Source organism: Homo sapiens, chromosome 5, assembly GCF_000001405.40.
Source record: "Homo sapiens chromosome 5, GRCh38.p14 Primary Assembly".
In the NCBI taxonomy this organism is placed as follows: Eukaryota; Metazoa; Chordata; class Mammalia; order Primates; family Hominidae; genus Homo; species Homo sapiens.
This window is the reverse complement of record NC_000005.10, coordinates 60,596,709-60,613,080: the sequence shown is the minus strand read 5'-3', so window position 1 is coordinate 60,613,080 and position 16,372 is coordinate 60,596,709. Positions and strand designations below refer to the sequence as shown.

The 16,372-nt window shown below is 37.5% G+C and overlaps 1 protein-coding gene across 6 annotated transcripts in view; it reads left to right on the top strand.

Annotated features, from left to right (window-relative positions):
• DEPDC1B (DEP domain containing 1B) overlaps positions 1–16,169 on the top strand; it is a 103,255-nt gene extending 87,086 nt beyond the window's left edge. For 2 of the 6 annotated variants that reach the window (NM_018369.3, XM_011543509.3), the window contains exons 8-11: positions 7,225–7,391; positions 9,514–9,690; positions 13,821–14,006; positions 15,167–16,169. In NM_018369.3, coding sequence (NP_060839.2) covers positions 7,225–7,391; positions 9,514–9,690; positions 13,821–14,006; positions 15,167–15,328 — 692 coding nt within the window. In that variant the 3' untranslated portion in view covers positions 15,329–16,169. Of the gene's footprint in view, positions 1–7,224; positions 7,392–9,513; positions 9,691–13,820; positions 14,007–15,166 lie in introns of those variants that run through there. The other 4 variants (NM_001145208.2, XM_047417369.1, XR_007058609.1 and 1 more) reach the window with 3 other exon arrangements.
• The last annotated feature ends 203 nt before the right edge of the window (positions 16,170–16,372 follow it).

The window sequence follows — 16,372 nt, the reverse complement described above, 5'->3', positions numbered from 1 at the left end:
AATTGAAATCTCGCAATGAATATCTCATGAGAAGAGAAGCATAATGAAGACTACAAAAAAGCAATGCATTTAAAAAGTAGCATGTTGCTCCTGTGTGTGTATAGCACAAGAGAAGCTTAGAAGAGTGACGATATCTCCCAGCTGTCACACTTTTATTTTATATCCTTCAGTTATTTGTGGCAATGATGGAAACCAGAACAATATGATTGACATCCTTAGAGTATTCATAACACTATTCTTAGCTCGCATGTGACCTTGCATTCCCTCAGACCTTTCACCATTTCTCTTTTAAACAAATTTTTAAATTTTCTAACAATCTCCAGTTTACAAGAACGGCTATAGCACAGTCCAAAGACCTTTTTTTTTTTTTTTTTTCTGAACCATTTGAAAGTAAATTGCTAATCAAATGTTCTATCACCTATAAATACTTCTGTGTGTTTTTCCTACAAACTAGGTCACTTCCCTGCAGGACCCTCAGACAAGCATAAAAATCAGGAAAGTAACACTGATTACTTACTATTACTTACTATTCTTTTTTTTTTTTTTTTTTTTGAGCAGATCTCAACAGTGGGCTTAAAATCTTCACTAAACCATGTGTTGTCATTTCTGGAACACAGGTAGAATAGATGTAGCATAATTCTATTTTTTTTTTTTTTTTTAGGTGGAGTCTTGTGCTGTTGCCCAGGCTGGAGTGCAGCGGCACAATCTTGGCTCATTGCAACCTCCACTTCCTGGGCTCAAGCAATTCTCCTGCCTCAGCCTCCCAAATAGCTGGGACGACAGGCACATGCCACCATGCCTGGCTAATTTTTGTATTTTTAGTAGAGATAAGGTTTCACCATGTTGGCCAGGCTGGACTTGAGCTCCAGACCTCAGGTGATCCACTCACCTCAGCCTCCCAAAGTGCTAGGATTACAGGCATAAGCCACTGCACCCAGCCAGATGTAGCATAATTCTTAAGGGCCCTAGGATTTTTGGAATGGTAAAGGAGCACTGGTTTCAACTTCAAGTCACCAGCTGTATTAGCCCCTAACAAGAGAGCCAGGCTGTCCTTTCAAGCTTTGAAGCCAAATATCGACTTCTCCCTTCTAGTTACAAATGTCCTAGATGGCATCTTCTCCCATTAAAGGCTGTTTTTGTCTACATTGGAAATCTGTTGTTTAATGTAGCCACTTTCATTATGATCTTAGCTAGATTTTCTAGATAACTTGCTGCAGCTTCTACATTAACCCTTGCTGCTTCACCTTGCACTTTTATGTTATGAAGACAGCCTCTTTCCTCAAACCTCATAAACCAGCCTCTGCTAGATTCCAGGTTTTCTTCTGTAGTTTCCCCACCTCCCTCAGCCTTTATAGAATTGAAGAGTTAGGACTTTTCTCTAGGTTAGGGTGGGGCTTAAAGAAATGTTGTGATTGGTTGGATCTTCTATCTAGGCCACTCAAACTTTCTCCCTATCAGCAACACAGCTGTTTCACTGCTTTATCATTTGTGTGCTCACTGGAGTGGCACTTTAGTCTCTTTCAAGAACTTTTCTTTGCATTCATAACTTGGCTGTTTGGCACCAGAGGCCTAGCTTGTGACTTCTCTCAGCTTTTGACCTGCCACCCTTACTAAGGTCAATAGTTTCTTTTGATTTAAGGTGACAGATGTGTGACTCTTCTTTCACTTGAACACTTAGAGGCCATTGTAGGGTTATTAATTGGCCCAATTTCAATATTGTTGTGTCTGAGGGAATAGAGAGGCCCAAAGGGAGGGAGAGAGACAGGGGAACCACCTGTTGGTGGAGCAGTCAGAACACACACATTGGTTGATTAAGTTCACAGTCTTATGGGCATATTGTGTGGTTCCCCCAAACACTTACAGTAGTAACAGCAAAGATTACTTATTGATCATAGGTCATAATAATAGATAAAATAATAATTAAAAAATTGAAATATTCTGAATTACCAAAATGTGATACAGAGACATGGTGTGAGCCCATGTTGTTGGAAAAATGGTGGTGATAGCCTTGATTAACACAGGGTTGCCACAAAACTTCAATTTGTAAAAAACATAATACCTGCAAAGCAACTAAAGTGAAGTGCAGTAAAACGAGGTTATACCTGTATATTAATAGGTGACTCCAATAAAGACTTCGGTAATCTATAACAAGGAGCCAACTATCAAATGGCAACTGCAAAGATAGTTCTCTCACTGAAGCTAACAAAAACATCTACAAACTTTCAGCTGAAAAATCAAAAAAGTTTGAGTTGTATAGGACATTCTAACACCAGGGAATGAGACATATCTTTTTGTATGTAATAATAATGCAAGCCTGAAAATCTTCCAGTGACTCACAGAGTAATAACTGTGACAGAGGCTTTCTGAATTACACATGGTGAATTTTACAAAAACATAATATGTGGATGATGTTTACATAAGTTTATATCTTCTTCCATACTATGTAATGTGGTTCTACAAATGTTTAGGTAATTAGGGTTTAGGAGGGTATAATTAAATGATTTATTATTCAATAATATGCTTGTGTTGGGACATTGTGGAATTTTACCTGCTATTGTTGTGAGGCCCGGAGCCAAATTTAATCTTATCTATTAGTGCACAATATATTTCTTAACCAGATTTTAAAGAAAATCTAGCCAAAGTTGTATGTGATTCATGTTGTATCTTCCTCCTGATGTTAGTTTTAATGCTTTAAGATAGTAGTAGCTATGATTGATGCCACTGAAACTTTTAGTTCACTTGACTCCTCTATATAGCCCATGGATACCCAGTGTAGTACATTGATTTGGTTTTATGACTATTGACACCATTTTCTGATTTATGAAGGTTGACTTGTCCACAATCGGTGAGAGCTGGGATTTAATCCAGATATTCTGGCTACAATCCCAATAAGAGATGGGTCATTCTTATCCTTCATTCATGTATTCATTCATTCATATCATTCATTCATTCATTCTTTACACAGAAATGTGTTGGTACCTATGATGTACCAGGTATTTTTCTAGCCATGGGAGGCATATCAACAAATGAAAATGATAAGAACCCCTACCCTGTGGAGCTTACATTCCAGTAGGGCAGAGGGGAAACAATGGCAGATAACATAATAAGTAAATTCTGTAGTATATTAAGTGGTAGTAATGTATACTTGGAAAAAAGTAAGCAGGTAAATGGAATTGGGCATACCAATTTTATACCTCTTTGGAGGGAGATATGAATTAATTTTTCAATTTTATCTCATAAATTATGTCAAAATAATAGGTTTTGTCCCAAGCCTTTCCAAGCAGGTAGCCTGGAACAAGTGTTCTGCTCTTCTCCTCTCTCCCCACTACTCAGAACATTGCTATAAAAGATAGCTAAATTACAAGATCAACTTACAGAGTCCTACTTAATTCATTATGTAGCTCAACTGTGGTTCAAATCTAGTAGTGTTATAGACCTAACCAGTCCTTACAGTGGGTTTTCTCCCCAGTCTGGTAAACTGTATTCCATGCTCCAGCTGCAGGTGACAGGAACCTCATCCTTTCATGCTGCTCTTTTAGCTTTGGGAGTAAGCAACTCCCTCTCCTTCCACATTATCCAATATTGTGCGGCAGAGACTTGCTTCCATTAAAGATACTGATAGTGGCTCCTCCACTGCTAGAAGCAGGAGGATGATCTTGGGGAATGATTATGGATTTAAAGGAGGAAGAGATAGTAGCATAGGCTTCTGTTTTCACAGGAAATAGGAAGGTTGACAGTTGGAAGAAATCGTAGAGGAGTCCCAGCTGGGATCAGTGACAGGAGGGAGGAAAAGGGAGGCCCTGGTCTCACAGGAAGGTTGAGTTATTGGGATGTTTATGAGTCAAGGATGGTCGCTTATCACCCAGTATGTAGGTTTCTGTAGATAAATTCCTGAGATGAATTTACCTATGCCTTCTTGCTTGATTTCTTTTTTGCTTTTTCTTTCTTTCTCCCTTTCCCTTTCCTTTTCCTTTCCCAGGGTATTGCTCTTTTGCCCAGGCTGGAGTGCAGTGTGCAATTATAGCTCACTGCAGACTCAAACTCATAGGCTCAAGTGATCCTCTTGCCTCAGTCTTCTGAGTAGCTAGGACCACAAGCATGCACCACTATGCCTATCTAATTTTTTAATGTTTTTGTAGGGATGGGATTTTGCTATGTTGTCCAGGCTGGTCTTAAGCTCCTGGCCTCAGGTGATCCTTCCATCTTGGCCTCCCAAAATGCTGAGATTATAGGTGTAAGCCACCATGCCTAGCCTCATTTAATTTTCATAAAGTCTGAAATTATTATCTACTCTAAGTTTGGCAAGCAACTGGTTGTTTAGAGTTTAGTAATAATTTTTTGAAAAGATATAATGGATATAATTTTTACATATTTGTTTAATAGCATCCTCACAAAGAAATTTTTAAATTTCTTTTATAGAATTCTGATATTTTACAGCCCTGAGGTACTCTTAATTTTAAAATATATTTCTTTTTTAATACATTATTTTTCATAAAGGCTTTATAATCAGCATGCTTTTATTTTTTAAAAATATTGTACTACTAATATTGTTGCATAACTTCAAAAATTATCATTTAGTAGCCATATAATACTGGCTAATAATTAACATAATATAATATAATAAATATAATATAATATAATATATAGTCTATTGATAAATAGGTATTTGAGTGTTTATCTGTTTGCCTTGTATTATACTAGGAAATGTGGCTTGCCAAAATAAATGCATTATGCTTTCGGTTAGCTTGTAGTCTCATTCATAAAGCAATGTAGATACAATGCAGTAAGGATAAGGTGAAATCTGCCTTTGCAAAGGGATTTTTAATTTGGAAAAAGAAGGGATTTGTGGGACAATGAGATAGAAGGCTTTACAGAAAAACTAGATGGCTTTGTGGAGAAAGAGAATTTAACTAGTTATTACCAGTTCAACCGCTACGTCCCCATTCAGACCATCAGCATACTGTGTGTCTTCCTTTTTCCCTGCTTTCCCCTTGCAATCTATTTGCTATACAGGTGCCACAGTAAAAAGCAATTCAGATCAAGTGACTCCTCTGTTCAGAACCCACCAGTGGTTTCTCAGGTCATTTATAATGAACCCCTCAGTCTTTAATGATATAGCCTACAAAGTTCTGCATGATCTGCCCCCTTGGCTGCCTCTCTAACCTGATTTCTGACTTGTGTTTTCCTTACACACACTGTCTCTTGATGCTGGACGCATTCCTGTACGTCACACACTCCCAGCATGCTCTCACATTACAATGTTTGTAATTGCCATTCCCTCCACCTTGAAAGTTTGTCTCTGCAGTATTTCCCTGGCTTGCTCTCATTTCCTTTGGATCTCTGCTCACATGTTACCTCCTTAGAGAGGGCCTTCCTGAAAATGATAGAAGTGTTTTTTTTGGAGCACATCCCCTCACTCCCCAGCTCCTCTCCAGTGTATTTTTCTCCATAGCATCTTTCTGCCTGACCTTGTATTTCTATATCTTTTTGCTTTTTATCTTCTGGAAAACAAGCTCCATGAGATCACACAGGGATTTTGCTTTATTCCTCACTGCATGTCCCCTCCTAATACAGTTCCTGGAATACAGGTGGGGGTTCATAAATATTTGTTGGGTAAATGAAAGAATATATTAAAATATTATCATAAACCTTTTTTCTTTCCATGATTTGATGATGTGGAATTGAAAACAGGTCTACATAGATGATAGTGATATAATCAACAGCATTCCTGAGTACGTCTAGGATCAGCACTTGGTCTAGAAAAGATCTGTCTTCTGCCCTCCTTTCCCGTCCATGCACATCCACTGCCTTTGGGATCAAACCCAATCTCCTTCCTCTGGCAGTCAGGGCCTTCTGAGACCTCATCTCTGTTGATCTTTCTAGCTTTACTTCTACCAAGTCATTCCCCTCATAACTGCATGTCATACTGAGTGGCTTATAGTTCCCCTCCTGTGGCCCTTGCAGATATTTCTTGCATTGCTTTTCATTTGTCACTTATTTGTTTATGGGTTTCTCCTCACAGTGCATAAGCTCTTCAAAGGAAGAGGCCTGGTATATCTTTGTATTTCTGGGATCTAGCGCAGTTCTTGTATATTGTAGATGGTCAGTAAATACTTATTCAATGTAAAAGATGTTTTTTGCCTTCCAAAGACTAGTGGTAACTTGAAATGGTTGGATATAGGACAGATAAACTGATAGAAGCAGTTTTACCTCATTAGAGGGCTTGGATATAAGTATGTCCAGGGACAAATATAGTAAAAAAGAGAGCAATATTATAATATCCTTTAAAAAAAAAAAAAGAGACAGGTCTTGCTGTGTTGCCCAGGCTGGTGCCATTATGGCTCACTGTAACCTCAAACTCCTGGGCTCAAACAGTTCTCCTCCTTCAGCTTCCTGAATAGCTAGGACTACTGGTGTGTGCCACCATGGCGGCTAATTAAATTTTTTTTTTTTTTTTTTTTTTTTTTTTTTGTAGAAATGGGTTCTCACTATGTTGCCCAGGCTGGTCTCAAATTCCTGGCCTCAAGTGATCCTCCCATCTCAGCATCTCAAAGTGCTGAGATTACAGGCGTGAGCCACTGTGCCTGGCTAGAATATCCTAACTTTTAGCAAAATCATACCTGAGATGAGGAAGGATGGCATATAACATGATTGAATCAGCACACTTAACTAAGAAAGATAGCCTAAGTGGAAAGAAGGGTTATTTGAAAGGCATTATTTAGAAAGAAGGGGAGCCATTTGGCAGTGGACTGACTATGTGGGCATCAGTCCTTTATTTAGTCACTGAGAGTCATGCAAGGTGGTGAGCCTGCTGATAATGAGGAAATAATACAGAGGGGAGAATTCAGGGGAGTGATGACACGTTCACGTTCTTGCTATTTTGGACTTATTAACAACGTGAGTGTTGAGGGTTATGATAGTGTTAGCCTGGCTGCTCCTGGTTCGGGAAAGAGTGCTATGAAAATTGAGATATATCTGTCTAGTGTATGGGAGGAGAAAATGGCTGTATTTGGTTCTATATATTTGTCATGCCTGGTTGATGGTTTGTATTTTCTATAGTGATTTGTGAGTGACAATGGATCTATATTCAATTGACCCAGTATAGTTGAATATGTGAAAATATTTTATGTAATTTTACTAATATATATTTTGTTAAAATACAACCATATAGAATCTACTAGGCTATAGGTGTTGAAAGATAACATTTTTTTTTTTCTAAATCAGGTTTGTTACAGAAGGAGAAAGTGGCAGTTGAAGCATTTCAGATTTGCTGCCTTCTCCTACCTCCTGAAAATAGGAGAAAGTTACAGCTATTGATGAGGATGATGGCAAGGATTTGCTTAAACAAAGAGATGCCACCCCTGTGTGATGGCTTTGGTACCCGAACACTGGTAGGTTGATTTTTAACATCAGGTATGACTTTTTGGAATGAAAGTCGACTGAGTAAGGTGTATTAGTTTGGGTGATCAGAGGGAAGTACAAAGCAGACTTGCTTAAAAGAGCCACAGTCAGTGTCCACCCAGACTTGTGTCGTGCTTTTGTTCTAAGTGTCTTAAAGAACATAATGAGAAATGGAGACTTGAGTAGGGGCAGACTCTGTAGAGAGATCTGCTACATCCTGTTCTCCCACTTAAAATTATTTTAAATTTATTCTTAATTGACAACTAATAATTGCATATGTGATGTTTTAATTCATGTATACATTATAGAGTCAATCAAGCTAATTAACAGATTCATTACCATACCAACTTATCATTTTTTTGTAATGAGATCATTAAAAATCTATTCTTTTCTCAATTTTGAAATATACAATATATTATTATAATTGTCGTCACCGTGCTGTGCACTAGAGCATTAAGACTTGATCCTCCTGTCTCACTGGATCTTTGTACCCTTTGACCAACATCTATTTCCATGTCCCTGTATCCCCCAGCCTGTGGTACCTACCATCTAATCTCTGCTTCTATTGGCATATGTTTTTAAAGAGAGTTTATTTTAGAATTTACTTACTAGCAAAATCTCTTGATTTTCCTCAAAAAATGTCTTTGAGCAAAACTGGTGCTTCAGTGGAATGTATGTGCTTTCCATATCCTGTTAAAACACCGTGTACTCCCTGGGGATTCACTGGCCCAGTTTTAGAAGTAATAGAGTGAGATCAGAGGAGCACTTAGTGCCCAGTAGGATTCTTGATCTCTATATTTTTTTGGAGTGAGTGGATGGTTAGAGAGGCTAATAGACCTTTTTGAAAAGCTGAAGAAAACTTTATATCTATTCTGCATATAAAATACACATGCAAAACTTTGCATGCAGTTTCAAGGCGATCACAGAGTCCCTGGGGTCCATGGTCTCCAGGCAAAAAATTCTCTGCCTGTGTGTCTCTCTGTACATGTAAATGTAAGTGAAGATCATTTGCAGTGTGTTAATGAAGTGTTACTAAGCAGAATTACATGATTTTTTGCTTAAAGATTTTGAAGGAAGATTGTCAGCGATAAAAGTAGTAGGAAAAAACAAAACAAAACAAAAGCCAGTCCAAAGAACAGTATTAAGAATGGAGTAGTTAGGCTGGGCGTGGTGGCTCACTCCTGTAATCCCAGCACTTTGGGAGGCCGAGGCAGGTGGATCACCTGAGGTCAGGAGTTCTAGACCAGCCTGACCAACATGGTGAAACCCCGTCTCTATTAAAATTACAAAAATTAGCTGGGCATGGTGGCAGGCGCCTGTAATCCCAGCTACTCGGGAGGCTGGGGCAGGAGAATTGCTTGAACCTGGGAGGCGGAGGTTACAGTGAGCCAAGATCACACCATTGCACTCCAGCATAGGTTACAGAGCGAGACTCCGTAAAAAAAAAAAAAAAAAAAAAAAGAATAGTTAATTTCAATTCTATGGAAATTATTACATTGATGCTATAATATATTTTGCATTTCTGCTTGCCTCAAAGAGAGTCTCATCACTTAATGTACTTCTTGAAAAGTCCCATGGCTTTGTTCAAAGATGATTGTCAAATATACATCGAAAATCCTAGAGAAAATAAGCTAACTAGGAAAAGATGTAATGGTTGAGGCATGTGGACTGTGTTAGCGGTTTAAAACAAATCAATAATGAAATTAGGATAAATAATAATTGACTAAATGGCTATAAAGTGCTTTGAACTTAGTAGTGCTACATGATTCAAGTCATGGTGATAATGATTTTCAAAATTTGTTTTCATATATTTATATGTGTGTATGTGTGTGTATATATATATATATATATATGTATATTTAAAATCGTGTAAAAGGAGGTTTAAAAATTGCTCAGATAAGCATCTCTCTGCAGTCTCTTAACAGGAAGATGCACATTTTGTTTGTTCTGGTTGTTGAGACCGTCAACCCATCTGAGATGGCTGGGTACTCTTGGTAGAATATGCACCCTGTGCCTTAGACCATTTCTCATATTTGCCTTTTGCAAATTAGATTGCACTCAGTTCAGAAAAATACTCATCTGCGTTTACCCCCCACCCCGCTCTTTTTTTAGATGGTTCAGACATTTTCCCGTTGCATCTTGTGTTCCAAGGATGAAGTGGACTTGGATGAGTTATTAGCTGCTAGATTGGTAACGTTTCTGATGGACAATTACCAGGAAATTCTGAAAGTCCCTTTGGCCTTGCAGACCTCTATAGAGGAGCGTGTGGCTCATCTACGAAGAGTCCAGGTAAAGGAGAGGATATTATCAGTTCTATGAAATTGGCAATATAAAGTCACGTAAGCTTGCTAGGCTTCTTGGGGCATTTTATTATGAGGATTAAGTGAATTAATGTTTATAAAGTACTTACAACAGGTCTTGGCACATAGTAATCCCCTGCATGTGTTTGTATTATCATTGAAAAGTTTACAGAATGCACATTTGGTTTTGTGTATCAATCCATGTGGCATATTTTTTATTGCTAATTCCTTGAATGAGTTTGTTTAGAATCTACATACACCTACTGATGGAAATGATTTTATGTGCAGTAAGTGTCTTGATTCATAATTGCCCTGTGACCTAGTTTAATATTCCCACTTTTTGCATGAAAAAGCTAAGGCACAAAGAACTTAAATAACTTCGCTTAAGGCCACAGAGCCAGAATTCTGACTGTTGCAGTCAGCCTCTGTAATCAGTGCTCTAAACTATCATTCCATATTGCCTGTCTAAAAATCATAGTACAGTAGAAGAACACTGGCATGAGAGCCATGAATCCCTGGCCAAATTCCTAGCTGTATCCTTTCTGTCGTGTGACTCTGGGCAAGTCCCTTAACCGCTTTGGATTTTACTTTCTTTCCTCAGGCGTTAAAATGGGCTATTCTTTCTTTATAAAGTTGTGAAGATTAGAACACTGTACTTTACAATTCCTAGGATGAATTTCTGACATATGTCAGGTATTCTTTGAAAGGTAGCTGCTGCTGTTGTCATGGTGGTTATATAAAAACAATGCAAAAGAAATATAATATATTATTATCGTGTGGACCCCAAAGTGGGGTTTGTATGTCAGCCTGTGGGAGCAGAAACCTGGTAAAGGCAGGCAGAAGGTCCACTTGACTCCTTCTGACTGATTGGACCTCTTCTCATTTGAGATCTTTTTGAGGCACCACAATCAAGGACCAGTGAACTGCCTCCTTCTGAGGTATTACAAAAATAATTAATTGTCCAGCTGTTTCTAGAAGGCAATTTTAAAATTAAAATTTTTTCTATTTTTTTGCAATTATCAACCTAACACATTGAAGAAACTTGGGAAATATAGAAAAAACACACCAAAAAGTATCAGAGTTACACTAAAATGTTCATAGTCAGTAATATAGTCTTTCAGATTTTTTTTTCTGTGTCTGTCTGCTGTCTATGTCCATGCCTACCTTACTTTCTTCCCTCTCTCTTCCCTCCCCACCCTCCCTTCCTTCCTTCCCTCCTTCCCACCTTCCCTGCTTCCTTCTTGCCTGCCTCCCTTCCTGCCTGCCTCCCTTCCTGCCACTTACATTCTGTTAACAATGAGAAAAAAATTCCCCCATCATTAAATATTGTTGATTGGCATGAGAATGGCCAAGAGCACAGACTCAGGAGCCTTTGAATTCATGACATGCCTTTTGTTAGCTGTGTCACCTTAGGCAAATTATATAACATGTCTGTGCTTCAACATCTGTCCCAACATTTCTTTTTCTCATCTGTAAAATGGGAATAATAGTAGTTAATATTTACCTCATAGAGTTTTTCTGGGGAATTAAAACATGTGATTAAAATACATGTGGGCTTAATACATGTGAAATGCTCACAATAATGTTTATCACATTGTAAACCTACAATTAGTAGCTGCCTTTGTTGTTGGTATCATCATTATTGTTATATTATTCCATAATAATATTATTGGCAACATAGTATTCCATAATATGGATATACCATAATTTATTTAAATGATACTTTTTGGTTGGTATTTAGATTGTTTTCATGCTTTCCCCCATTTTGGAAGCAATATAGCAGTAAATATTTTTAAAGGTAGATTTTTTTTGGCTAATCTGTGATTATTTTTTAAGAATAAACTCCTAGGGGCAGCATTGCTTGGCCAAAGGCCATGAACATATTTTAAGTATCTATAGCATATTGCCAAATTTAGAATGATCATTTCAATTTACATTTCTGTCAGTGGTATAAGAGAGTGTTCATTTCTTTGCCCCTTTGCCTACTTTGGATATTATCATTAACACTTGTATATATCTTTGCCACTTGCATGGGTGAAAAGTGTAATTTTAACTGCTGTTTTAGTTTAATTTTTTCCTCTGATATTTTTATGAGCCAACCCTAAAGAAAATAAAAATGAACAGAAATACTTCACCAAGTTTCTGCAAGGAAATGTTATAGCAGTGTATTAGTCTGCTCTCATGCTGCTAATAAAGACATACCCAAGACTGGGTAATTTGTAAAGGAAAGAGGTTTCATTGACTCAGAGTTCAGCATGGCTGGGGAGGCCCCAGGAAACTTACAATCATGGCAGAAGGGGAAGCAAACACATCCTTCATGAGGCAGCAGGAGAGAGAAGCACCGAGCAAAAGGGAGAAAAGCCCCTCATAAAACCATCAGATCTCATGAGAACTCACTCACTATCATAAGAACAGCATGGGGGGAACCACCCTGTGATTCAGTTACCTCCCATCTCCCACAGCAAGGGGATTATGGGAACTACATTTCAAGATGAGATTTGGGTGAGGACACAGCCAAACAATATCAAGCAATAACTGTGTTGCCCTGTATACTTGCTAGGTTTGTGTATTCACATGCATAGCACAGGCATATATTGTAGTAACTTAGCCTTGTGAGCCCTTTGCTATTACTTGAAGTTCAGAAGGCTGAGCTATGGTGATTAATTTAACTGCAGGTAAACATGATCTTGTTAAGAGACACTGCAGTGTGCTCTGAATAAAATCAGTAGTGATTCATTTGTCCAGTTACCTTTTCTCTCTTGCAAGTACATATTAGAATTGCCAAGCACCTGTTCCATTCAGCCCTCAGAACCTATAGATCTTTGTTCTTTTGATTAGGCTCCTAAGCCTCTACACTGTATCACATTTAGGGGAGTGCTTCTCTGAAAATGCAGTGTTGCTTGGATTATTCCAGTGATTGTTTTAGGACAGTTTCAGGGCTGACCCTGGGATACATTATTAGGTAGGCAATGTTTTTGACACAAGCCTTCTATGATCCTCATCTGCAACCTTCTATTTCAAAGGACTCCAGGCTCTGAAATTAAATATTTTTAATGTATGTTCATTTATTCACAGGCCTTGGTTTCCTTTTTCCTCTTATTTCTCTCTTCTCCCTTATCCCTTCTGCAATGTCTGCACCTTTGTTGTTTTACTTGATTCTCATGGGTAAGATGTTAGGAAATGATTGTAGTACCCCTCTCTTCCTAAAAGCTTAGCTAAATGCATGCCACTACCATCCCCAAGGCATTGAGAATCACACTCTTCAGATGTGGGAATGCGCCTGGATAGTTCCAGTGGATATCCAACATTATCAATGTTTTGAATCATTTTAGTCAATGTGTTTAATTTATGCTTGAATTTCAGATCTTGTTAAAAGAGGGAATGCCGAGACCAGCTCGGTCGTGGAGACCCTAACCCAGTGGCCCTAGAGGAATTAAAGACACACACACACACACACACAAATATAGAATGTGGAGTGGGAAATCAGGGGTCTTACAGCCTTCAGAGCTGAGAGCTTTGAACAGAGATTTACCCACATATTTATTGACAGCAAGCCAGTCATAAGATTTACTAAAAGTATTCCTTATGGGAAATAAAGGGGTGGGTGAAATAAAGGGAAGAGCTCTGGCTAGTTATCTGCAGCATGAACATGTCTTTAAGGCACAGATCGCTCATGCTATTGTTTGTGGTTTAAGAATGCCTTAAGCGGTTTTCCGCCCTGGGTGGGCCAGGTGTTCCTTGCCCTCATTCCTGTAAACGGACAACCTTCCAGCATGGGCATCAAGGCCATCACGAGCATGTCACAGTGCTGCAGAGATTTTGTTTATGGCCAGTTTTGGGGCCTGTTCCCAACGAGGGCACAAGCTTTTTTTGTTATTGAAATGGCTCTTGGGTTTACAAAGGTAAAAATCCAATTTAAAACCGTGGCTTTAAATAATAATATTTTGAAGTTATGGAAATACTTTTACTTTTCAATATAGAGTTTCCCCCAATCAAATTTTGAGGACTAACATGGCATTGCTACGGTACAAGGAGATATCCTGTATTTGATCTAAACTAATTCTTATAATTTATTTGAAAATATGCTATATTCTTTCACTACTAATCCTTTTGCCTCAGATAAAATACCCAGGAGCTGATATGGATATCACTTTATCTGCTCCATCATTTTGCCGTCAAATTAGTCCAGAGGAATTTGAATATCAAAGATCATATGGCTCTCAGGAACCTCTGGCAGCCTTGTTGGAGGAAGTCATAACAGATGCCAAACTCTCCAACAAAGAGAAAAAGAAGAAACTGAAGCAGGTAAAAGGATATTCTTTATAAGCCATTTTTTCTCCTCCCTACTGTTTTTATGTTTTTTTTTTTATTTTAATAGGCTTCATGTAAATCTCATCTTCTGAGCCATAGCAGTTTTCTAAGTATATTAGTTCATACATTCTAGAAGTCTCACTGATTTACACACTTGTGGTCAGTATCCTAGATCTTTATTCTTCAGTGTAAATCTGTTACCATTGCCAAACTCTTCATTTTTGGAGCTATTCTCTAATATTTGTCCTTTGTTTTGGTATGTGGCATGATGTGAATTAGCAGAGCATCTGCTTTAATCTCAGAGAAGCTATCAGTGAGGGTGGATTTCTTTTCATGTTTTCAAAAGGCAAATCAGATGGAATTCACAGGTGTAAAATGTTTAGAGTTTAAAAGCCGTTGGTTTTAGATAGCCACTATCAAATTAGTTTCTTGCCTCAGGTATCAGTACAAGTTTTTAGTTCCTCTTATGTTAGGGAACACAGCTTAGGGTTCCAGCGAATCGTTTTTAACTCACAATATGTTACTTTTGACTATTCATAAAGGTTGATCCATGATCAGGTGAGTGGTTTTTGTTTTTAAAGACTGAACTCTACATAGTTGGATTCAGGGAACACCGTACATGTGGGATTACACACAGAGCACCAGAGTTCTGGGCTTCTGATCATATTATTCTCAGAGTAATTTTGGAGGAGAGTTTAGTGGTAAAGATCAACAGAAAGTATACTGCCTCTCTTTTAAGCTTTTCACAAAGTAATATACACCAGAATATTCCCTCTTCCATTTGAGCAGAAGCTGGTGGGGCTGAGTTGGAGAAACAGAGAAATGATGAAATGTAATTGGGCCAAAATTTTATTTAACTGTGTAGAACAGAAGTTATTTTGAAGTCAGAGTTACTTGTGAATATATAAAAAGTGAGGTCTATTTATAGTTGGCAGTGGGGGGAATTTTCAGAAACATGATTAAAAGGGGAACTTATTTGAAGCTTAGATCAAAGGAAAGATGGATTAGCTCTATAGAAATTGGAATGAAATGTTTTAACAAAAATAAACAAAAACAGGAAAATACAGGCTCAGAAACTCTTAAAATTTGGCTGCCAAATTTTATTGGCTTTTATGTGTCTTTTTTTACTCTTCTTGGACCATTCATTTTTTTAGTTTCAGAAATCCTATCCTGAAGTCTATCAAGAACGATTTCCTACACCAGAAAGTGCAGCACTTCTGTTTCCTGAAAAACCCAAACCGAAACCACAGCTGCTAATGTGGGCACTAAAGAAGCCTTTCCAACCATTTCAAAGAACTAGAAGTTTTCGAATGTAATAATACTTCCACAGCAACAGGTGCTAGAGACCACTGTTGTTGTTTTGAGTGAATGGTGGTTAGGAGAAAGACTTTGGTGGTGGAAGAAAGAAAAGCATAAAACAAAGACTACTGAAATATAGATAAAGATTGCCTTAGTTTTTAAAAATGTTTGGCCATTAGTATTTTTATAAAACTCAATGCTAGTTTTAAAGTGTATAAATTGGTTAAAATTTATGAGTCAAATATATAGTGATAATGTTAACATGTTTGTAATTGCTACAGAATTTAAGGGTATTTTTATCTCTGTGCTTTCTTTTTCATGGTGTTTATTAAATAATTGTGTATATACATCCTAGCTACTGATATCTTTATTATAGCCTTAAGACTTAATTTTAAGTCTTAAAAATAGCGTGTATACTTGAATAAGAAAGACACTGGGTACTGTTACTGTGATGCTATTGACTTAGTAGCCAATTATCATTTCTCCTGTATAAATTCCAGTTTTTATTGCTGCACATAAATTTTTTAATGTCTTATATTGTGATAGCTATGTCTTTTATTGCAGATTTATTGGATGTTATGACAGATTTTACTAAAGCTAGTGTTTTTATAACATATATATTAGTTGATGTTTACCTATAAGTGGAGTAGATTTTCATCTGCCTGCAATGGTATAATTTCAGTCTTAGCTAAAAATGGAAAGTTGAACTGGATAAATTCTTTGGGTACCCTTAGACCTCTGATTCTAAGTCAAATGCAAATGGGTTAAATAAAATGAGACTACTTCCTTTATAAATATATTTTCATCCTTTTGAAAGTAAGTGAAATGTAAATAAACTTATTTTTTTTAAAAATGCCATACCTCGTGTTTCTTTTTTGGCATTTATTTAGATCAGTTAGAGAGCATCCTCAAATGCCTTTGCCAATGGTCTTCATCAGTCATTTATTTCTATGAGAAAATGAAAAGTAAGATTTGGGCTTTTGTACTGACTGGTCTTTAGGTGAGCACTTTGCCAATTTTTTAGCATTGCTTTGTCCTTTTGTAAAATTGTGGTGCACTTG